At 42.7% G+C, this 16,138-nt stretch overlaps 1 protein-coding gene across 7 annotated transcripts in view; it reads left to right on the top strand.

Moving 5' to 3' along the window:
* The window catches only part of ZNF320 (zinc finger protein 320), a 44,830-nt gene extending 29,613 nt beyond the window's left edge, over window positions 1-15,217 (top strand). For 4 of the 7 annotated variants that reach the window (XM_024451397.2, XM_047438310.1, XM_047438309.1 and 1 more), the window contains 3 exons: window positions 636-716; window positions 10,549-10,675; window positions 11,847-15,217. In XM_024451397.2, the coding sequence (XP_024307165.1) occupies window positions 636-716; window positions 10,549-10,675; window positions 11,847-12,267 (629 nt within the window). In that variant the 3' untranslated portion in view covers window positions 12,268-15,217. Of the gene's footprint in view, window positions 1-635; window positions 717-10,548 lie in introns of all 7 variants that reach the window. The other 3 variants (NM_001351777.2, NM_001387570.1, NM_001387571.1) reach the window with 1 other exon arrangement.
* The last annotated feature ends 921 nt before the right edge of the window (window positions 15,218-16,138 follow it).

Raw genomic sequence — 16,138 nt, 5'->3', positions numbered from 1 at the left:
CATGTTGCCTGTTCTGTGTGATTCTTTTTGCTCCTTCGCTGTTCACTGGATCCTGGTGGGAAAAAGTCCCCAAGTGGAGAGCAGAGCCAGAAGGTGGGGCTGTGCTAGGCTGGCACCCACTGAGTGGAGCTCAACCCTGACTTCACATTAGGGTTCTCAGGCATTTTGCAAATACATCTTTTATGCTGTTTTATCAGAGATTGCTATTATCATAGATTTAAACCCACCCTCAGTAATATTTACTATGGCACTGGTGATCCTTATCTGTCTCCAGCATTGAAAATCAAGGCAGTTTCCTCCATGTTGAGAGCTGAGATCAGCCTGTGATCCACAGGGAGCTGAGGGGGCTGTGCTCTGCATGGGGTTTGGTTAGGGCCAGATCTGTGTCCTGAAGGTCTGTGTCCTGCTGCAGCGTGTGTGTGGACTTTTCCAGGAGGGGAGAAAGATCTGAAAATGGGTCAAAATTACCCTTGTAGGTCTTCCTGTGGCACCTTCTTATCTCCGCATAATCTCTGGTGTAGTGGGCAGCAGAGGGCTGTCTTTCTCCCAGGTGAGATCTCCCGTGTGTGTGTTTTGCCACAGAAAAGGAGGGAGTGATTTCTAAACATTAAATCTCTGATTTTTTTCACATACAGGATTGATTTCCAGAGACTTATGTTACTTGAGGAAGACACCAAGAAGGCAAAGAAAAGGAGCCAGGGATGGCTCTTCCTCAGGTGAAGTGATATTTCTCATTGGATTCTTCTGTCTCTTTCCTTTCTGAAATGCCAGGTATTGTAGTAGTCAGTCTCCTGTGAGTCTGAAGCGTCCTGCCTCACACGTTTGCTCACACTCACCCATGCCTTTTCTCAGTCCTTGTCATCTTCACTTAAATTCCATCTCCTATAACCTAGTGATGTGAGCTTGGGAAGAGGCTCCACTGGGCATGGTCCTGGGAAGGGCTCACACCAGGCATGGATGGAAATGGGGTGTGGGCCCCATGGTGTCAGTGATGTTGGGCAGCAGGGTTTGTTCAAGGGCCACATCTGGATGGACGTTTAGCTCTTTGTGGACCAGATCAGAGAAACTGTGTATGAAAGTCATACGTTGTGGGGGAATAAAAGAGAGATCAGATTGTTACTGTGTCTATGTAGAAAAGGAAGATATAAGAAACCCCATTTTGATCTGTACTAAGAAAAATTGTTCTGCTTTGAGATGCTGTTAATCTGTAACCTTAGCCCCAACCCTGTGCTCACAGAAACATGTGCTGTGTTGAATCAAGATTTAATGGATCTCGGGCTGTGCAGGATGTGCTTTGTTTAAAAAGTTCTTGCAGGCAATATGCTTTGTGAAAGGCATCGCCATTCTCCATTCTTGATTAACCAGGGACACAAATGCACTGCAGAAAGCTGCAGGGACCTCTGCCCAAGAAAGCCTGGGTATTGTCCAGGTTTCCCCCAATGGAGACAGCCTGAGATATGGCCTTATGGGAAGGGAAAGACCTTACAGGTCCCTCAGCCCGACAAGGGCCTGTGCTGAGGAGGATTAGCGAAAGAGAAAGGCCTCTTTGCAGTTGAGATAAGAGGAAGGCATCTGTCTCCTGCTCCTCCCTGGGAATGGAATGTCTCGGTGTAAAACCCGATTGTACATTCTATTTACTGAGATAGGAGAAAACCGCCCTATGGCTGGAGGTGAGACATGCTGGCAGCAATACTGCTCTTTACTGCACTGAGATGTTTGTGTAAAGTCAAACATAAACCTGGCCTACATGCACATCCAGGCAGAGCACATTTCCTTAAACTTATTTATGACACAGGGTCCTTTGCTCACGTGTTTTCCTGCTGACCCTCTCCTCACCATCACCCTATAGTCCTGCTACATTCCCCTCACCAAGATAGTAGAGATAGTGATCAATAAATACTGAGAGAGGCTGGGCGCGGTGGCTCACGCCTGTAATCCCAGCAATTTGGGAGGCCGAGGCAGGCAGATCACGAGGTCAGGAGATTGAGACCATCCTGGTTAACACGGTGAAACCCCGTCTCTACTAAAAATAGAAAAAATTAGCCGGGCCCGGTGGTGGGCACCTGTAGTTCCAGCTACTTGGGAGGCTGAGGCAGGAGAATGGCATGAACCCGGGAGGCGGAGGTTTCAGTGAGCCGAAACCATGCCACTGCACTCCACCTGCGTGACAGAGCAAAACTCTGTCTCAAATAAATAAATAAATAATAAATACTGAGGGAACTCAGAGGTCGATGCCGGTGCAGGTCCTCACTTGCTGAGCGCTGCTCCCCCGGACCCACTTTTCTCCCTCTATACTTTGTCCCTGTGTCTTATTTCTTTTCTCAGTCTCTTATCTCCACCTTCTGAGGAATACCCACAGGTGTGGAGGGGCAGGCCCCCTTCAGTACATTAATATACACTGGTATCTGGTAAATTCTGGAAAAGGAAACAAACTATGGGAGATATTTTGTGTCTGCTTTTGTAATGGATTTGAAGCTACACCAGTGAGTCAATATGTCTCTGACTCCAAACTTTCTTTTTTAAGAAAGAGGGTGTCACTTTGGGGCCCTTTCTGGAGTGCAATGGAACAATTCTAGTTTACAGCAGCCTCAAATTCGTGGGCTCAAGTGATACCCACATTAGCCTCTCAAGGAGCCAGGATGACAGGCAGGTGCTACCACACCTGGCTAATCCCAATTTCAGAGAAGGTGAGAATGAGAGCTATGTACAGAATGATGGAGGGAAACAGTAATGAAGACGAAGGGGGACCCTGGGTGCAGATGAGCGGTGAGTTGATTGGATGTGATGATGAAGTGATGACGTGTTGCTTCCTCTCTTTGTAACATAATTAATTTAAATCCCTCTGGTCCATAATATTCTCTGCAGATGTTGAAGGATGGGCTGGATTGACTTGGAACCTTGGTTTAGCAGAGCCCATGTGTTCATGAGAAAAGCATTTGCTCAGATCTCATTGCTACAGCTGCCTCTTTTTCAGTGTTTTAAGCACCTAGAGCTATGTGTGCACAATTTTTCAGTGTTTTAAACACCTGCAGCTATGTGTTCACAATGTGTACATTTTGAACATATTTCTGTGATTTTCTGGGAGTGAGTAATTACATGTTTGGGATTGATGCCATCAGAACCGTAGACCTCGAAAGAAGTTTCTTTTGCTCAGGAATATACAAGATGGTTTTGGAATTTTTTTTTTCCGAAGTGGAGTGTCACTCTGTCACTTAGGGTGGAATGCAGTGGTAAAGTCTTGGATCACTGTAACCTCTGTGTCCCAGGCTCAAGTGATCTTATTGCATCAGCCTCCCAAGTAGCTAGGACCATAGATGTGTGCCAGGATGCCTGGCTAATTTTTTGTATTTTTGGTAGAGATGGGGTTTCACCATGTTGGAGAGAGAGTGGGAGAAAATATCGCTCTGTGGCTTAGTTTTGGAGTACAATGGCACAATTTAGAGTTTACAGCAGCCTGAAACTCCTGGGCTCAATCAATCCCCACTTTAGCCTCCCAAAGAGCTTGAATGATAGGCATGTGTCACCACAAGCGGCTAATTGTTTTATTTATTTATTTATTTTGAGATGGAGTCTCGCTCTATTGCCCAAACTGGAGTGCAGTGACAGGCTGTCAGCTGACTGCAACATCTGCTTCCTGGGTTCAAGCAATTCTCCTGCCTCAGCCTCCCGAGTAGCTGGGATTACAGGCATGTGCCACCATGCCTGGCTAATTTTTTTGTATTCTTAGTAGAGATGGGATTTCACCATATTGGTCAGGCTGGTCGGGAAATCCTGACCTTGTGTTTTTTCACCTCAGCCTCCCAAAGTGCTGGGATTACAGGCCTGAGCCACCATGCCAGGCTAGACTCTGCATTTTTAATGACTTGGAATGGAATGGAAAGTGAAGATACACATCAGTGGTGTAGAATGCTTTATCACATCATTGATTGTATTTTATTTTTTTTAGTTGAGTCTCCCTCTGTTGCCCAGGCTGGAGTACAGTAGTGAGATTTAGGCTCACTGTAGCCTCTGCCTCCTGGATTACAGTGATTCTTTTGCCTGAGCACCTCGAGTAGCTGGGACTAGAGGTGTGCACCACCACACGTGTAATGGCATGATGTGATGTGTGTGCATAAATACATGGATGGATAAACCTATGGTTTATGTAGAAAACACAACATTTGCCATAAGTTTTATTTTTTATAATAATTGTAATGATCTTAAGTATTTTTCTTTTTTTTTTTTTTTTTTGAGACGGAGTCTGGCTCTGTTGCCCAGGCTGGAGTGTAGTGGCCCGATCTTGGCTCACTGCAAGCTCCGCCTCCAGGTTCACACCATTCTCCTGCCTCAGCCTCCTGAGTAGCTGTGACTACAGGTGCCTGCCACCATGCCCAGCTAATTTTTGTATTTTTAGTAGAGACGAGGTTTCACCGTGTTAGCCAGGATGGTCTTGATCTCCTGACCTCGTGATCCATCCACCTCGGCCTCACAAAGTGCTGGGTTTACAGGTGTGAGCCACCGCACCTGGCTATTTTAAGTATTTTTCATTGTCATCAACTATCACAATAATGAGTTAATAGTAAGAAGGGCCTGGGCATGGTGGCTGATGCCTGTAATCCCAGCACTTTGGGAGGCTGAGGCAGGTTCTCAGGAGTTCAAGACCAGCCTGATCAAAATGGTGAAACCCTGTCTCTACTAAAAATACAAAATTTAGGATGGGCGCTGTGGCTGACACCTGTAATCCCAGCACTTTGGGAGGCTGAGGCGGGTGGATCACGAGGTCAGGAGATCGAGACCATCCTGGCTAACACGGTGAAACCCCATCTCTAATGAAATACAAAAAACATTAGCCAGATGTGGTGGCGGGTGCCTGTAGTCCCAGCTACTCAGGAGGCTGAGGCAGGAGAATGGCGTGAAACCATTAGACGGAAGTTGCAGTGTGCCGAGATCGCACCATTGCATTCCAGCCTGGGTGAGAGAGGAAGACTCTGTCTCTATAAATACATAAATAAATAAATAGAAAATTTAGCCAGGCCCGGTGGCAGGCACCTGTTATCCCAGCTACTCAGGAGGCTGAGGCAAGAGAATTGCTTGAACCTGGGTGGCAGGGGTTGCAGTGAGCCGAGATCACACCACTACACTCCAGCCTGGGCAAAAGAGTGACACTCCATCTCAAAAAAAGAAAAAAAACCTGTCATTATTATTATTATTGTTATTACAGGCATGAGCCACTGCGCTCAGTCTGTCTCTGTTTTCACAAACACAGCTCTACCTACTCAGCCAGGGAATTCTTCACATCCATGGTCTCCTTCGCTGCTGCACTCCTCATAGACTTTACTCATTTTTTTCTGTGTGTATGAAATTCTGGAATCTATACTTGGTATATTGTTGTGTATACTCTTGAAACTAGGTATCAGAGGCCATTTAATTTAAGAGATGTAAAACTGCTTTCACCTTAGGCCACCATACTGCTGCTTTTTTGGATCTCTTTCATTCTTGTCCCTTGCCCATATTGTAATTTGCATATTTAACCTTGGGTCAATATTTTACCATTTGCTAAATTAGTTCCACTTTCTTCCAAGCTCAAGATTTGGTCTATCCTAGTGGAATTATATTCCCACAGAGGTGCATGCACAAAGTTCACTCCTACATGCCCATTACTTCCTGCTCTCCACCCTTGCCCTTCCTTTCCTGGCCTTGCCTCACATGATACATTGATCTGGATGCAAATACCAGCCTATTGACTTTGTAAAAGTGAACACCCCAATTTCCCCGTGAGCCCCTCCCCTCCAACACTACTCTCACTGAGTAAGTCAAGACCTTATTCATCCACTGGACAAAATTATTGGAGGCTGCCTAAATCAGTGTGTGCAGGGCATCATGACTCAGCACATGATCCATGAGGGATGGCTTCAGAACCACTGTCAGCAGCGCAGCTCAGCGCTTGTGTCCCAGCTCAGCCCTTGCTTGTATCCCCCTTGTAGTATTTCATTCTGTTCTCCTTGCAGCATTTTTTGTGACTGGTTGTTTTCTGTACTTTCTTGGTGGACTATTTTGCTTAGAAACATGTCGTGGGATCCTTCAGGCCAAGAATCAAGTTTGTCCCTCACTTACTGTATGTGCAAATTGGGGTCATGTACATGAACACTGTGGGCCTGCTGTACTTATTTGAGAACTTATTTGAGAAATAATGTTAATTTGCCTCCAGATTTTTTTTTTTTTTTGACAGAGTTTCGCTCTTCTTGCCCAGGCTGGACTACAGTGGCGCAATCCGAGCTCACCACAACCTCCGCCCCGGGGGTTCGAGCGATTCTCCTGCCTGAGGCTCCCAAGTAGCTGGGATTACAGGCATGTACCACCACACCCAGCTAATTTTGTATTTGAAGTAGAGACAGGGTTTTTCCATGTCAGTCAGACTGCTCTCGAACTCCCGACCTCAGGTGATCCACCCACCGCGGTCTTCCAAAGTGTTGGGATTACAAGCGTGAGCCACTGCGCCTGGATGCCTCCAGGTTTTTAAACAAGTTAGTGCTATTAGATGGCTTCACACATTGCAGCTTTTATATGACAGGCTGTAAACTGCCTTTGTGTAATAAGAGTTGTCAGCCTTCAGCAATGTTGATGATGACATGCTCCTTTTCCTGTCTCCGTCATTTCACTGTCCTGTCAGAAACGGCGTAGACTGGCTGGCCATGGTGGCTCACACCTCTAATCCCAGCACTTTGGGAGGCTGATGGGGGTAGATTGCTTGAGGTGAGGAGTTTGAGACCAGTCAGTCCAACATGCTGAATCCTTGAATCTACTGAACAAAAAAAATGGCCGGGTGCGGTGGCTCAAGCCTGTAATCCCAGTACTTTGGGCGGCCGAGACGGGCAGATCACCTGAGGTCAGGACTTCGAGACCAGCCTGGCCAACATGGTAAAACCTCATCTCAACTACAAATACAAAAATTAGCTGGGTGTGGTGGCACATGCCTGAAATCCCAGCTACACGGGAGGCTGATACAGGAGAATCACTTGAACCCAGGAGGCGGATGTTTCTGTGAGCCAAGATCAGGCCACTGCACTCTAGCAGGGGCAACAAGAGTGAAACTCTTTCTCAAAAATAAAGAAAGAAAAAAAATAAAAATAAAAGCACTGGTCCTATTCATGAGTAGTCAACACCCATGACCAAATTATCTCAAATGCCACATCTGCAGGAACATCCTGTTGGAGAATAAGAAATCCAAATATGGGCTGGGCACGGTGGCTCATGCCTGTAATCCCAGCACTTTGGGAGGCCAAGGCAAGTGGATCATGAGGTCAGGAGTTCAAGACCAGCCTGGCCAACATGGTGAAACCCCGTCTATACTAAAAATACAAATATTAGCTGGGGGTGGTGGCACGTACCGGTAATCCCAGCTACTTGGGAGGCTGAGGCAGGAGAATCACTTGAACCCAGGAGGCAGAGGTGGCAGTGAGCCGAGACCATGCCACTGCACTCCAGCCTGGCAACAGAGTGAGACTCCATCTCAAAAAATAAATACATAAATAAATAAATTAATTAATTAATTAATTAATTAAATCCAAACATGGCTTTTGGCCAATATGAACATCCAGACCAGGGAGCCTGCATCTTTTTTTATGTTTTTATTATACGATTTGTTTTATACTATGTTTTCTCTGATCCCAGTTTATCAATTTTCCCAGTACACATTCTATGTTTTATATCTTACGCATAGTGAACTAGATAACTAAGGGCAATATGTGTATATAGAATTGCCGTATTGCCTGACTGTTATTTAACTGTAGTCGTGACATCATAATTCAGCCGTCTGACACTGTTAGTCATTTCTTTTCTTTTTTTTTTTTTTTTTTTTTGTATGTTTTGTGAGACAGGTGTCTCACCCTGTCAACAGGCTGGAACTTACTAGCACATTGCAACCTCTGCTTCATGGGTTCAAATGATTTTCTAGCCTCGGCCAACTGAGTAGCTGCATTACAGGTATGTGCCATCATGCTTGGCTAATGGTTATATTTTTAGTAGAGATGGCGTTTCTCCATATTGGCCAGGCTGGTCTCAAACTCCTGGCCTCAAGTGATCCTCCCTCCTTGGCCTCCCAAAGTACTGGGATTACATGCGTGAGCCAAAGAGCTCGACATGATAAATGTTTTGTTCTGGTATTTTATCCTGCAAGTGTTAAAATGTTCCACATTTTCAAGGTAGGAAACAAGATAGTTTGCTGTTTTTCATCCTCCTTGGAGCATTTTCTGAATGAAGACGTGTGAGTCCTTCCCAGTTTTTCACCGTTACCAAGAATGCCACCCTGGCTGCCTCTGAGTGTGTTGACTTCACTACATGTATGTGGAGGGTTCCTGCAGGAGGGGTTTCACAGTTCTGACCTCAGGTGATCTGCCCACCTCGGCCTCCCAGATTGCTGGGATTACAGGCATGAGTCACTGCACCCAGCGCATGAGTAACTGCATCCAGCCTTATGATTTTATATATATATATATGTATAATCATATATATAAATATATGTATAATCATATATATAAATATATGTATAATCATATATATAAATATATGTATAATCATACATATATAAATATATGTATAATCATACATATATAAATATATGTATAATCATACATATATAAATATATGTATAATCATATATATAAATATATGTATAATCATATATATGTATAATCATATATATAAATATGTATAATATATAAATATATATGTATAATCATATATATAAATATATGTATAATATATAAATATATATGTATAATATATAAATATATGTGTATAATCATATATAAATATATGTGTATAATCATATATATAAATATATGTATAATATATAAATATATATGTATAATATATAAATATATGTGTATAATCATATATAAATATATGTGTATAATCATATATATAAATATATGTGTATAATCATATATATAAATATATGTGTATAATCATATATATAAATATATGTGTATAATCATATATATAAATATGTGTATAATCATATATAAATATATGTATAATATATATGTATAATCATATAATATATATGTATAATCATATATAAATATATATGTATAATCATATATAAATATATATGTATAATCTCATATATAAATATATGTATAATCATATAAATATATATGTATGATCATATAAATATATATGTATAATCATATATAAATATATATGTATAATATATAAATATATATGTATAATATATATGTATTATATATATATGTAATATATATATATGTATTACATATATATATATATATAAAGCCTGGACCCTGCACAGAACGCTTTATACAGGGCCGTGATTTGGGAGAACTACAGGAACCTGGAGTCTGTGGGTGAGGAAAATGTCCCTCCAGACCATATATATATATTTGAAATGGGGTACCGTTCTTCTCACCCAGTCTGGAGTCCAGTAGCACGATCTCAGCTTGCTGCAACCTCTGCCTTCTGGGTTCAAGCGATTCTTCTGCCTCAGGCTCCCCAGTAGCTGGGATTACAGGTGCCCACGACCACACCCAGCTCATTTTTGTATTTTTAGTAGCGACGTTGTTTCATCACTTTGACCAGGCTGGTCTCCAACTCCTGACCTCAGGTGATCTGCCCACCTCTGCCTCCCAAAGTGCCAGGATTGCAGGCATGAGCCACTGTGCCCCACCTTTTTAAAAATTTTATTTTTTATTTTTGAGAAGGAGTCTCGCTCTATCACCCAGGCTGGCGTGTAGTGGCCCGATCTCGGCTCACTGCAAGCTCTACCTCCCAGGTTCACACCATTCTTCTGCCTCAGCCTCCTGAGTAGCTGGGACTACAGGTGCCTGCCACCACGCCTGGCTAATTTTTTGTACTTTTAGTAGAGACGGGATTTCACTGTGTTAGCCAGGATGGTCTCGATCTCCTGACATCATGATCTGCCTGCCTCGGCCTCCCAAAGTGCTGAGATTGAAAGCGTGAGCCACCGCACCTGGCCAATTTTTATTTTTATTTTATTGAGATGGAGTGTCTCTCTGTTGCTCCAGCTATAGTGCACTGATGTTATCTTGGCTCACTGCATCCTCTGCCTCCTGGGAGAAGAGGAGTTTTCACCATGTTGTTCAGGCTGATCTCAAACTCTTGACCTTGTGATCTGCCTCCCTCCACTTCTCAACGTGCTGGGATTACACGCTTGAGCCACTATGGCTGGCCCTGACTTTCTTTTCTTTAGGCCACTGGACTTTGTCATCTCTGAGACTGCACTTGTATTTTAGCTCATCCAGATAATGAATATCAAGTGTTAGGCTGAACATAATATCTAACGTATTTATAGAGAAAACACTATATTTAGTTTTTATTTGTAAATTTTTTACTTAGGGGATCTTGAAATCTCTCATGGAAAAGTACAATAAAATGCAACGATAGAGAAAAGATGTTCAAAAATACCTTAATACGGGTTTGTCAGAACATATTCTTTGGCCCAATCGATACTTAATTTCCCATTTCTCATTTCGTGTGAAGGTGATAACGCCTCCATAATGTTTTATTTAAACGTGTTTCTCATTTTAGGGATACTTGACTTTCAGAGATGTGGCTATAGAGTTCTCTTTGCTGGAGTGGAAACGCCTGGACCCTGCACAGAACGCTTTATACAGGGCTGTGATGTGGGAGAACTACAGGAACCTGGAGTCTGTGGGTGAGGAAAATGTTCCTCCAGACATGAAGAATCTGTCCTTGTGTATCTTGGCTTTTCCTGGTTTTGTATTCTCTTTTGTGATTTTGCCCCATACGTGCTTTTGATGTACACAGCTGGGATTCCAGGCACGTGCCACCATGCCCAGCATGTTATTTTGTATCTTTAGTGGAGATAGGGTTTTGCCATGTTGGCCAGGCTCGTCTCGAACTCCTGACCTCCATACCCACCCGCCTCGGCCTCTAAAGTGCTGGGATTACAGGCTTGAGCCACCGCACCTGGCATTGTTCATTTTTAACAAGAAAAGCTTTGTTCAGTTTGTTGTGGGATCAACCCTGTAACAGTTACACTTTTCATCATTCTTATTGAGGGAGCTTGTGAGGTTGAATGAGATTCCCATATTTTAGTTCTTTTTTTTTTTTTTTCCTTTTTTGAGATGGAGTCTTGCTCTGTAGCCCAGGCTGGAGTGCAGTGGCACCATCTCGGCTCACTGCAACCTCTGCCTCCCAGGTCCCAGTTCAAGCAATTCTCCTGCCTCAGTCTCCTGAGTAGCTGGGATTGCAGGCACATGCCACCATGCCCAGCTAATTTTTGTATTTTTAGTAGAGACAGGTTTTCACCATGTTGGCCACAATGGTCTTGAACTCCTGACCTCGTGATCCACCTGCCTTGGACTTCCAAAGTGCTGGGATTACAGGTGTGAACCACCATGCCCGACCTTCCCATATTTTAGTTCTACTGTCATTTGTTTAAGACACAGAGGCTTTCAACTTATTCATTTCTATGTGTTATATATTTCATAGAAATACATATACTTCTATGTATTATATATTCATTTTTTTGCAGTAAGGAGTTCGAGACCAGTCTGGCCAGCATCACAAAACCCTGTCTCTACTAAAAATACAAAACTTAGCCAGGCATGGTGGTGTGCACCTGCAGTCCCAGCTACTCGAAAGGTTGAGGCAGGAGAATCGCTTGAGCCCAGGAGGCAGTTTGCAATGAGCCGAGTCACAGTGGCTTTCAACTTGTTTGTGTCTTTTCAGCAGTGCGATCTCAGCTCACTGCAATCTCTGCCTTGGGTTCAAGCAATTCCCCTGCCTCAGGGTCCAGAACAGCTGAGACTACAGGCGGAATCCACCATACCCAGCTAATTTGTTGTAATTTTGTTCACAAGGCAATTCATACTGGAGAGAAACCTTACAAATGTAAAGAATGTGACAACGTTTTCAGTTGCAGATCACACCTTGCAATGCATAGGAGAATTCACACTGGAGAAGCCATACAAATGTAAGGTTTGTGAAAAGGTTTTTGGGCTCAATTCACTCCTTGCAGAACATACTGAAATTCACACTGGAGAGAAACCTTACAAGTGTAATGAGTGTGGCAAAGCCTTTAGGGTGAGGGCATCGCCTATTCACCATCAAGCAATCCATGGTATAGTGAAAGCTCACAGATGTAATGACTGCCACAAAGTCTCCAGTAAAACTACAACACTTGCAAATCATTGGAGAACCTATAATGAAGAGAGATCTTACAAGTGTGATAAATGTGGCCAATTTTACAGTCATCATTCATACCTTGCAGTTCATCAGTGAACTCATACTGGAGAAAAACCTGTGACAAAGTTTTCAGTCGTAAATCACAGCTTGAAAGACATAGGTGAATTCATACTGGAGAGAAACCATACAAATGTAAGGTTTGTGATAAGGATTTTGGGTGTGATTCACACCTTGCAGGACATACTAGAATTCACCCTGGAGAGAAACCTTACAAGTGTAATGAGTGTGGCAAAGCCTTTAGTGGGCAATCACCACTTACTCACCATCCATCAGGCAATCCATGGTGTAGGGAAAGTTTACTAATGCAATGATTGTCACAATGCCTTTGGTAATGCTAGAACTGTTGCAAATCATTGGAGAATCCGTAATGAAGAGAGATCTTACAAGTGTTAATAAATGTGGCAAAGTTTTCAGACATCGTTCATAACTTGCAGTTCATCAGCGAACTCATACTGGAGAGAAACCTTACAAATGTCATGATTGAGGCAAGGTCTTCAGTCAAGCTTCATCCTAGGCAAAACATAGGAGAATTCATACAGGAGAGAAACCTCACAGGTGTGATAATTATGGCAAAGTCTTTACTTCACGTTCACAAGTCATTAGGCATCAGAGAATCCCTACTGGACAGAAATCTTACAAATGTCATAAGTGTGACAAGGTTTCAGTCTGAGGTCACTCCTTGCAGAACATCAGAAAATTCATTTTTGAGATAATTGATGCACAGGCAATGAGTATAGCAAACCATCAAGCATTAATTGTCATTAGAGTCAATTCAGCATTGACTTGAGTTTGAGTTGATTTAACATTGAGTTCAAGCATTAATTGATGTTAAAGTGTTTATGTTAAGAGGATTGGGCCAGGCACGGTGGCTCATGCCTGTAATCCCAGCACTTTGGGAGGCCAAGGCAGTTAGATCCCTTGAGGTCAGGAGTTTGAGATCAGCCTGGCCAACAGACGTGTGCCACTTTTCCCAGCCAGTTTTTTGTTTCTTTAACACAATCTGATAGGGATTTTTATGGGTACCGTGTTGAATCTAAATCACATTAGGTTATATAATCATTTAGCAATATTAATTTTTCCAATCCATCAATATGGGTTCTATCTCTATTTATATATGTTTTTAATCATTTTGATCAGTGTTTGTGGATTTCAAGGTACAAACGTCTCACCTCTTTACATTTATTCCTTAGTATTTCTTACTTAAATTTCTCTAGCAAATGGAACGGTTTTCTTAATTTTCTTTTAAAATTGTTTATTGTTAATGTATGGAAATTCAACTAATTTTTGCTGCTGATATTGTATTCTGCAAATCCACTGAATGTGTTTATTAGTTCCAGTAGTATTTTGGTTGACTCTTTGGATTTTTTCCACAGAAGATCATGTCATCTACAAACAAATACAATTTTATTTCTTTCTTTCTGATTTGGATGAGTTTTCGTTTTTGTTTTGTTTGTTTGTTTGTTTGTTTGTTTTTGACGGAATCTCACTCTGTCGCCCAGACTAAAGTGCAGTGACATGGTGTCAGTGCATTACAAAAGAGTGGTGTCTCCATAATTGTGCTTAGAACGCTGTGGTGCATGAGTGGAAAAACTGTTAAACAGGATCCTAGGAGAGCTAGAATGACAAAGTTTTAGTCTACTAAAACTAGCAAGACGTAGTCCTTACTGCTCACGCATGAGTCATGATCTTAAGATGTTTACAGTTAAGGAAAGCAGCTTAATAGTACCTGCAAGAACAAACTCCTACAGAAAAACAATGTCCAGATGACTCAATATCCCATGACAATCTATGCTTCTAAAATAATTACAGTCATGCTTTCAAGTACTTGCACACTAAAATACCAAGAATAGCTTTTTTTTCTTTTTCTTTTTTTTTTTTTGATGCCGTTTCACTCTTGTCATCCAGGCTGGAGTGCAATGGCACAATCTTGGCTCACTGCAACCCCCGCCTCCCAAGTTCAAGCGATTCTACTTCCTCAGCATCCTGAGGAGCTAGGATTACAGACATGTGCCCCCAGGCCTGGCTAATTGTTGCATTTTCAGTAAAGACTGGCTTTCACCATGTTGTCCAGACTGGTCTGGAACTCCTTACCTCAGGTGATCCCCCTGGTACAGCCTTTCAAATTGCTAGTATTGCAGGAGTGAGCCACCGGGACCGCCTAAGGATAGCTTTAAATCAACAAAATAATAAGTTTTGTTAGACTGTCAGCAGACCGGCAGGTAGACATATCTTAGTTTTTACCTAGGCGCCTATGTAAGAAAAACAGGCCAGGTGCAGTGGCTCACGCCTGTAATCCCAGCACTTTGGGAGGCCGAGGCGGGAGCATCACAAGGTCAGGAGATCGAGACCATCCTGGCTAACACGGTGAAACCCCGTCTCTACTAAAAATTCCAAAAATTAGCCGGGCGTGGTGGCGGGCGCCTGTAGTCCCAGCTACTCTGGAGGCTGAGGCAGGAGAATGGCGTGAACCCGGGAGGCGGAGCTTGCAGTGAGCGGATATTGCGCCACTGCATTCCAGCCTGGGTGACAGAGCGATACACCGTCTCAAAAAAAAAAAAAAAAGAAAGAAAAACTTAAAGAGGAGGCATTTCCTTTGTTTATGAGGACACCCTACTTTGTAACTGGTAGCGTGTAGTGCAATAAAATTTAGTTTCCTAATATCAATTTAAAAAAAAACAGTTTACCTGTAAGTAGGAAGACTACCCAGCCCCAGAGATAAGACCTTTTGGCATCATTGTCCCTTCTTACGGAGTGATAAAGTAACCTTCCTTGAAGTGTATCAATCCATCACCAGTCAAGCTGCCGCAGCCTATGCACTGGTCTTGAATGGAAAATGTGTTGATTCTGCTAAAGCTTCTCTGTCTTTCCCTGTGTGTGAAACCTTAACATCTCTACATGGGAACACGGGCCCCCTTCATTTGGAGTTGATGTTTCCAGATGGCTATCCTCAAACTTTGTGTTCCAATAAACTCTATAATTAATCGTGTATTCTGAATTTTATTATTTACTGCTGACGTCAGTTTCCGTCAGATTGTAGGAGCCTCACTAGAGAGGGCACCTGTCGCCATGTCGTAAAACTCACACTTGTCAAAAAGACGTGGGTTAATGTATTTCCCCTCCTTCTGCATGAAGCTAGTTAGCTGACACAGATGGTCACCTCCATTACCAAGTAGAGCCAGGATGAACTATGTGCGACCAAAGACTTGTCAAGTCCTCTTCCCTGAGGACTGATTAGTGTTTATCTTGAAAACATGTACTTAATGGGTTGTATAGAGCAGTGAAGTTTCTCTCTTTTCAACCTCTCAGCTCTTTGCCTGTATTTCCCAACACATTCTGGTCTAAGGCTTATTTACTAATAAAATGGTTTTTATTTCTTCCTGTTTTGTCATGAAGATGATTTCTCATTTTGGGGAAGATTTTTTAGTTTTCAATTGTATTTTTTCAACATTTAAAAAGCGAAGTAAAGAGTATTTCTTGGGCCAGGCACAGTGGCTCACGCCTGTAATCCCAGAACTTCGGGAGGCCGAGGCAGGCGGATCACTTGAAGTCAGGAGTTCGAGACCAGCCTGTCCAACATGATGAAACCCCGTCTGTACCCAAAATACAAAAATTAGCCGGGCATGGTGGGTGTGCCTGTAATGCCAGCTACTCCGGAGGCTGAGGCAGAAGAATCGCTTCAACCCAGGAGGCAGAGGCTGCAGTGAGCCGAGATGTCACCATTGTACTCCAGCCTGGGCGACAGAGAAATACTCAGTCTCAAAAAAAAAAAAAAAAAGAAGAAGAAGAAGAAAAAGAAAAAATGTAAATAAAAAGGAGAAAGTAACAGATCTCTTTTACAAATGTGCTGGGACAACTAACTGGATATCCATATGGAGAAGAGTAATGTTGTATTCCTATCTCACACAAG

Source organism: Homo sapiens, chromosome 19 (assembly GCF_000001405.40).
Source record: "Homo sapiens chromosome 19, GRCh38.p14 Primary Assembly".
Taxonomy (NCBI): Eukaryota; Metazoa; Chordata; class Mammalia; order Primates; family Hominidae; genus Homo; species Homo sapiens.
This window is presented reverse-complemented; position numbering and strand designations above follow the sequence as displayed.